Raw genomic sequence first — 8,465 nt, forward strand, 5'->3', positions numbered from 1 at the left:
GGATCACATTTCACCATGAGATATGGAGGGGACAAATATTCAAACTGTATCAGCATCTTTTAAGTCAAACAGAGGTATTATAACCCAATTCATTATAAAGAGTTTTTGGGCATTTAATATAACATGTGACAAGCAACAAGTACTTAATAAGTGTTAGCTACTATTTTTATGTCCTATCTCTATAATGACTGTTTTACATTTTTTCACAAAAATTAATTATAAGCATGTGTTGAAGTTTTATTTTAAGCTTGTCACAAAGCCAAGTCAGTAGTTCCCTTTTGTTATGGATATTTCAAAGGAAAAGAGAATGGTTGGATAATCATTATTAAACTGAATACAAGACAAAGAATGTATGATAATCATCCAAATGGTTTGGGTAGCTAATTTCCCCAAAGAGGTTTTAATCTTGTTAAAGTTTATCAGAAAATTGCTTCAGCATTTATCAGGAATGCTCATGTCCTCCCAGAAGGAGGTTGTGAATTGTATCACGAAAGTGTTCTATTCCAGGCTGTGATTGGGATGTTCTTCTTAATCATACCCATAAGAATCGGCAGAGCACCGTGTCTCACTCCTGTAATACCAGCACTCTGCGAGGCCGAGGCAGGCAGATCACTTGAGGCCAGAAGTTCATGACCAGCCTGGCCAACATGGTAAAACCCTGTCTCTACTAAAAAAGAAATACAAAAATCAGCTGGGCGAGGTGGCATGTACCTGTAATCCCAGCTACTGGGGAGGCTGAGGCATGAGAATCACTTGAACCCGGGAGGCAGAAGTTGCAATGAGCTGAGATCACGCCAGTGCACTCCAGCCTGGGTGACAGAGTGAGACTCCGTCTGAAAACAAAACAAAAGAATCATGGCCGACATTTCCTGAGCCTTCACTATGCATCTAGTCTGGAGCTGTGTCACAGGCCTGGCCTTGAAACAGGTTCTGGATGCATTTCATCATTGTCACCCCCCACCCCCCAGCATGCTCAGTTCGGTGTAGGACTCTGCAGATGTCTACAACATGCTGATGAGATGGGTGAGTGGGAGCAGCGGCCATCATGTCCCAGGCCTTTGCACAATGTGCAACATACAACACCCTCTCCACACCACCAAGATGGAAATAAACAGGTTTCTGAGAGTAGAAAGAACCACCCGTTGCTCCCCCAGTTTCATTGGGTATGAGTTTGTGCTGTTTGGGAGAATGACGTGCTAGGTGTTTTGTCCAACACCATAAAGTAGGCTCCTTGTCAGGGAGATAACAAGGCGCTTTGTTCTGGCCACAGAGCCGGGTAGAGCATCCAAAGGCTCATTACCAAGCATGGATGCCTTTCCTCTGACAGACAATGAAGAATTGGATCCAAGTTGCTCATTAAGTTCCTTAGGGAGTTGTTGGACATCTTGCTACTGTATGAACAAACAGATGGACCTGGCTGCTGGCTGCAAGGATATTTTAGAAAAAGCAGGTCTGCCTACCCATTATGAAGAGTAAAATATTATACTGGGATGGGGTGCATCATCTCCAAGCTGGTTTGGGGGTGAGGTCAGTGGTTCTCAAAATGTGGTCCTCTGAACAGCAGCATCAGCATCACCTGGAAATTTGTTTGAAGTGAGAATGTGCCCGGGTGCGGTGGCTCACACCTGTAATCCCAGCATTTTGGGAGGCCGAGGCAGGCTGAGGTCAGGAGTTCAAGACCAGCCTGGCCAACATGGCAAAATCCTGTTATCTACTAAAAGTACAAAAATTAGCAGGGTGTGGTGGTGGGCACCTGTAGTCCCAGATACTCCAGAGGCTGAGGCAGGAGTATCGCTTGAACCCGGAAAGCGGAGGTTGCAGTGAGCCGAGATCGTGCCACTGGACTCCAGCCTGGGCGACAGAGCGAGACTCTGTCTCAAAAAAAAACAAAAAAAAAAAAAATGAAGAAGTCAGGATGCTTGGTCCCCATCCCAAATCTGCTGAATCAGAAACTCAGGGGAGGGGCCCAGCAATCTGTGCTTTAACAAGCATTGTAGGTGATTTGGATGCATACTTAAGTTTGAGTTGAACTGAATTTTTTTTTTTTTTTGAGACAGAATCTCACTCTGTCACCGAGGCTGGAGTGAAGTGGTATGTGATCATGGTTCACTGCAACTTCTGCCTCCTGGGTTCAAGTGATTCTCGGGCCTCAGCCTCCCGAGTAGCTGAGATTACAGGCACACACCATCACACCCAGCCAATTTTTTTGTACTTTTAGTAGAGACAGAGTTTCACCACGTTGGCCAGACTGATCTCGTCAGGCAATCCACCCACTGCAGCCTCCCAAAGTGCTAGGATTACAGGCATGAGCTGCTGCGCCCAGCCCTGAGTTGAATTAAATGGTAATATCTTTTCCTCTTTCCTTCTTATTTCACTTCCTAGCATCTTCTCTTTCTCACTATCCTCTCCCATCCCTTCTCCCTCACAAACCAGCAACACGTTCTCAGAAGCCACTGGGATTTGATCTAAGCGCTCAGGTGGGTTGCAAGACCTTTTGAGAGATCACCAGGATGGGAGATGATCAAGCTCCAGAACACTGTTACATTCTCCCAGTGGAACCTGAGAGCAGACCTGCCTGGATGAGCTAGGAGACATCTTGATGGCCATCTCCGGCCATGACAGCACGTATTTCTGAGGCAGAAACAAATCCGGCCAGAGTGTAGAGCCTGTGCTGCCCTGGAGCCAGCTTTAATTGATCATAAGAATGTTTGGGGCAAAATGGCATAGGAAAAGAACAGCAGTGGGAGAAAAGGTGAAAACCATAGGTAACCACAGAGAGGCCTGGAGCAATGGAGCTATTCAGAGAAAAATACAACAAACAGCCACCAGGATGGATTTGTTAGAACACATCAGCATTGGCCGGGCGCGGCGGCTCTCACTTGTAATCCCAGCACCTTGGGAGGCCAAGGTGGGCAGATCACCTGGGGTCAGGAGTTCAAGACCAGCCTGGCCAACATGGTGAAACCTCGTCTCTACTAAAAATACAAAAATTAGCCGGGTGTAGGGGCACATACCTGTAGTCCCAGTTACTCAGGAGGCTGAGGCAGGAGAATCGCTTGAACCCAGGCGGTGGAGGTTGCAGTGAGCAAAGATCACGCCAGAGTATTCCAGCCTGGGAGTCAGCAGCGAGACGCCGTCTCAAAGAAAAAGAACATATCAGCATTTACTGAAGACTCAAGTGGACTTCCTACAGATCTGGGGCTGATATTCAGAGGACGTTCAAGGAAAGGGTGACTCCTGAAGGCTGGAGAACAAGGGACACTCCTATTACACATGCAAAAAGAAGATACAGCCCAACGGCTCATTTCAATAAATATTTGCCAAGTGCCAGCAATTCTCCAGGGTGCATGCTGGATTTTTAAGCAGGATGCAGGTCTGGTACCTCACTCTGGTACTGTGGCCCCTGCTAGGAAACTCTTCAGCCACATCCTCAGCCACCTCTGGGTTGACGTAGACCATTCAGGATCCCAGGGCAGCTCCAGGATGCTAAATTCCAAAGGACTGAATTGCTATGGACTGAACTTTGTACCCCCAAAAGTCACATATTGAAGCCTGATGTGGTTTGGCTGTGTCCCCACCCAAATCTCACCCTGGATTATAATAATCCCCATGTGTCAAGAGCAGGGCCAGATGGAGATAACTGAATCAAGGGGGTGGTTTCCTCCATACTGTTCTCATTGTAGTCTCAGGAGATCTGATGGTTTTATAAACGGGAATTTTCCTGAACAAGCTGTCTTGCCTGCCACCGTTAGTAAGACGTGACTGCTCCTCATTCCCCGTTCACCATGACTGTGAGGCCTCCCCAGCCATATGGAACTGTGAGTCAATTAAACCTCTTTCTTTTATAAACTATCCAGTCTCAGGTATGTCTTTATTAGCAGCGTGAGAACAGACTAACACAAAGCCTAACCCTCAATGTAACTATATTTACAGATAGGGCCTTTAAGGAGGTAATTAAAGTTAAATGAGGTCATAAGGGTGGAGCCATAATCTGATAGAATTAGTGCCCTTATAAGAAGAGACACCAGGGAGGCCATTCCCTCGCTCTCCACCATATGAGGACACAGCAAGGCAGCCATCTGCAAGCCAGGAAGAGAGCTCTCATCAGAAATTGAATCAGCCAGCACCTTGATCTTGGACTTCCTGGCCCCCAGAACTTTGAGAAAATTAACTTCTGTTGTTTAAATCACTCAATCTATGGAATTTTGTTATGGCAGCCCAAGATGGCGAAGATACGTCCCTCTGCCCAACCACACCAAGCTGTCCAGTTGCCATGGCTATACTACAGTTTAGGGCAGGGGGCAATTCAAGAGGTGGCCTCTTGCACAGTGTTAAATGGGAAGCAAAGTCAATGTCTCCTCTCTTGTTCTCAGTGTTCTCTCTAATGTACTTGCACCCTCTCCAAGTCAAAGTCCAGAGAAGGGAAATTGGGACACCCATGTGAGCCTCTTGTCATCTGCTTCTCTGTTCCCCTTCTTCTTCCTTAATCCCTCAAGGTCAAAAAAACAAAAACAAAAACAAAACAACAACAATAACAAAAAAAAGAGCATCAGGTAAAAACCTTTTGTGACCCCTAATTATATCTTTCTTTCTGACTCCAGCTAAGCCTTAATGGTAGACAAAAGTGTCTACTCCACATCCCTGTAAAATTTTTGGGAATAGATTCTCCAAGTTTGCTTACTGGTATAAAGGAGTAATTAAAAAAAAATATTGAAGAATCCTGCCTTGCAAGCAAGGCTACTGTCCTGCTGCATAATCCTATTTTTGAATGACAAAGACTGACTAACACTGTGGCCTTCCTTGGCATTCAAATCTCCCCCTAGCCAAAAGGATGCCAGGGATATATTAGAGAAACTATGATGTTCTGGGAAAGAAAAAAGAGAAAAGCATGTTAAAATAAAAAAAAAAAAAATCACCCCAATTTGCATATATACATATAAATCTTTTTTTTTTTTTTTTTTGAGAGTTTCACTCTCAAAACTCCTGGGCAATAGGAGTTTCACTCCTGTTGCCCAGGCTGGAGTGCAATGGCGCGATCTCAGTTCACTGGAACCTCCGCCTCCCGGGTTCAAGCGATTCTCCTGCCTCAGCCTCCTGAACAGCTGGGATTACACGCGCCCACCACCAAGCCTGGCTAATTTTTGTATTTCTAGTAGAGATGGGGTTTCACCATGTTGTCCAGGCTGATTTCGAATAAATCTTCTTTTAACCAAAAAAATGGTATATCACATTTTACATACTTCCCTGCTCTAAGCTTCATTTGCCTAAAATTGTATCTTCATCTTTCTATCTTGGAACATAGACATCTATCTTGCTGTCTACCTCTATCTCCCTACTCCAAGTCACCAATATCTGTCACCTAGACAACTGCCATAATCTTCCAACTGGTCACCTTGCTTCCACTCTTGCCCTGGTATAATCCGTTCTCCAAACAGAGAGAAAAACATTTTTTAAGTAAAATCTGCTAATGTCAAGATTTCTGCTTCTAAATAGAAGGGAGTAGTTGACAGGCCAATGTTTCTGCTAAGAACTGGAAAGGGTGGATAAAATAGAAAACCATCGTTTTAAAGGCATTGGAGAGCTTTGGAGGCAAAGGACTGGAAGCATTAAAATTCCACAAAGGGGACCAGGGGTGGTAGCTGACACCCGTAATCCCAGTACTTTGGAGGCTGAGGTGAAAAGATAGCTTGAGCCTAGGAGGAGTTTGAGACCAGACAGGGTCTCAACATAGCAAGAACCTATCCCTTAAAAAAAAAAAAAAAAAAAAAAATTAGTGGCTGGGCGCAGTGGCTCACACCTGTAATCCCAGCACTTTTGGAGACCAAAGTGGGTGGATCACAAGGTCAGGAGTTCAAGACCAGCCTGGCCAAGATGGTGAAACCCCATCTCTACTAAAAATACAATAGCTGGGCGTGGTGGCGGGTGCCTGTAATCCCAGCTACTCGGGAGGCTGAGGCAGAGAATTGCTTGAACCCAGGAGGTGGAGGTTGCAGTGAGCCGAGATCGCACCACTGCACTCCAGCCTGGGTGACAGAGCAAGACTCTGTCTCAAAAAAAAAAAAAAAAAAAAAAAATTAGCTGGGCATGTTGGTGCACAGCTCAGCCTCCCAAGCAGCTAGGATTAAAGATAACCATTAGCATTCTTTCATAATATTTTTAAATTAAGGTATTTATATTGCTTTGGACATAATGCTATTGCACAGTTAATAAACTACACTATAGTGTAAACTTGATTTTTTTACACAAGGGTCTTCACTAGGTTGTCCAGGCTGGCTTTGAACTCCTGGGCTCAAGAAATCCTCTGCCTTAGCCTCTGGAGTAGCTGGGACTACAGGTGCACGTGCCACCACACCTGGCTAAAATAACTTTAATGCACTAGGAGACAAGAAAATGTGTGCAACTCACTTTATTGCAGTGGTCTGGAACCAAGCCTCTGAAACACAGCTACATATATTTATCTGGGCTGGGATCTCCTTGAGGACACAAACTGCCTTACTCACCCTTGTATCCTTTTCTCCAGCTTAGCGTCTGGCTCCCAAGTAAATGCACAATGCTTTTTGAGTGAATGAGCCTCACTCTCCCAGCTCTCCATTCTCCTGGCTGTCAGTTCTGCTGTGGAGTCTCCAACCAGCTGCTTCCTCAGGCCCTCATACTGGGCACATATCCCAGCAAGGGCCACGCCTCCTTGACCTAATCCTGGCTCTTGGGCCACCTTGGTTAATGGACTGCTCTTCTCAGAGTTCCTCAGGCCCTTAAGACCTGGGATGGCTCCTGCCTCACATGCAACAGTGGCGAGAGGCACCCATGATGATCTGATGCCGGATGAAATATGCAGACTTAGGTACTGTATTACTGCTTAGACTTAGGTAATGTATTCTACTGCTGTCCCCTCCACTGTGGCAGACATCTGTCATCAGTTACAGCTTCCTCAAGTGGACCCAGATTCCTTCCCCTGGCATCTGTTCAAGCAGCCACAGCCAGTTGGCAAAAGGTGGCAAAAAAGTCAGGATGGTCCTCAAAGGCCAAGGCAGAAAAAGGACCTGTGACTTCTGGATGCTTCTGCAGGGAACTGACTGCTGGTATGGTGCCTTTAAACATAAATGCCTGCCCCTTAGGCCAGGCATGGTGGCTCACACCTGTAATCTCAACACTTTGGAAGGCCGAGGCGGGTATTTACTTGAGGTCAGAAGTTCGAGACCAGCTGGCCAACATGGCGAAACCCCATCTCTACTAAAAATACAAAAATTAGCTGGGCGTTGCGGCACATGCGCATAGTCCCAGCTACTTAGGAGGCTGAGGCACAAGAATCACTTGAACCTGGGAGGCAGAGGTTGCAGTGAGCCAAGATCACACCACTACACTGCAGCCTGGGCAACAGTGAGGCTGACTCAAAAAATAAAAAAACAAAAAACATGAGAAAAAAAAAAAACAAAGAATGCCTGGCAGACCATTAATGTGCCAAATTCATCAAGACAGGCTTACCAGCGTGATTTTTGCCCCAACTCCAGCCAAGGTGGTTTTAACTTCAAGTGGGGAGATTAACTGCACCTTTTCACCATGGCCCCTGGGACATGTGTAGATTCCTCCCTCTGTGAATCAGAGATGACAGTTCATGCGTGCACATCCTTAGATCATGTCATTGCTGCAATTTTTCTTTCTCTTAAAAACAGGTCTCACTCTGGCACCCAGGCTGGGCTGCAGTGGTGCCATCATTAACTCATTGAATCCTCGAATTCCTGGGCTTAAGCAATCCTCCTGCCTCAGCCTCCTGAGTAGCTGGGACTACAGGAGTGCGCTACCGTGCCTGGCTAATTTTTTGTGGAGACGGGGTCTGCTGCCTAGGCTGGTTTTGATCTCCTGGCCTCAAGAAATCATCCCACCTTGGCCTCCCAAAGTGCTAGTAATACAGGCACAAGGCACCATGCCTAGGCCTTGCAATAAGTGACTTTACCCTAATCTCCAAAGCCTGAACTTAAGAGTACCCCTCAGTTCCATCAATGGCAGCTGCTCCATGTTCACCCTACTCCCACTGTTACCCCATAACCTGTCCTCTCAAGCTGACACCATGGATTTTTACATCCCACACATGCTGACCAACTTGTCCCAGTTTGCTCAAGATCTCCCTGGGTTTAGCAATGAAAAACCCACTTTCTGGGAAGTCCCTCAATCTCAGGCAAACTGGGACAGTTGATCTCACAAGTAGGCATTTACTTATGAGCCACGTCATCCAGGACACTCCAGCCTTCCTGAATGACATCAGACCTGTCTCACTCCATAATCTACCCTGACTATTCTGCAATGCCCTGAATTATCATGGGTCCTAAATGCCTAAATGTGAACCAACTACCAGCACTTGTTCACCTCCTAGTTCCAAATGTATACCTCAAACAATATCCTCTGAGCCAAGGAAGAGTGAAAATCAGATCTGGCCTATGGCCTACCTTCTCCAAAGCCAGCCTGGCAGG

General features: G+C 46.1%; 1 long non-coding RNA gene across 2 annotated transcripts; it reads right to left on the reverse strand.

The window, feature by feature from the left end:
* Positions 1 to 212: 212 nt before the first annotated feature.
* On the reverse strand, positions 213 to 4,921 carry LOC124904901 (uncharacterized). Of its 2 annotated transcripts, none has more exons than XR_007067582.1 (2): positions 3,015 to 4,921; positions 213 to 1,576 (listed from the first exon to the last, which is right to left on the reverse strand). It is a non-coding gene; the product is annotated as an uncharacterized LOC124904901 (long non-coding RNA). The 2 variants fall into 2 exon arrangements; XR_007067583.1 differs by lacking the exon at positions 3,015 to 4,921 and adding an exon at positions 1,754 to 1,765.
* Positions 4,922 to 8,465: the final 3,544 nt, after the last annotated feature.

The sequence above is a fragment of the Homo sapiens genome, chromosome 20 (genome assembly GCF_000001405.40).
Source record: "Homo sapiens chromosome 20, GRCh38.p14 Primary Assembly".
Taxonomy (NCBI): domain Eukaryota; kingdom Metazoa; phylum Chordata; class Mammalia; order Primates; family Hominidae; genus Homo; species Homo sapiens.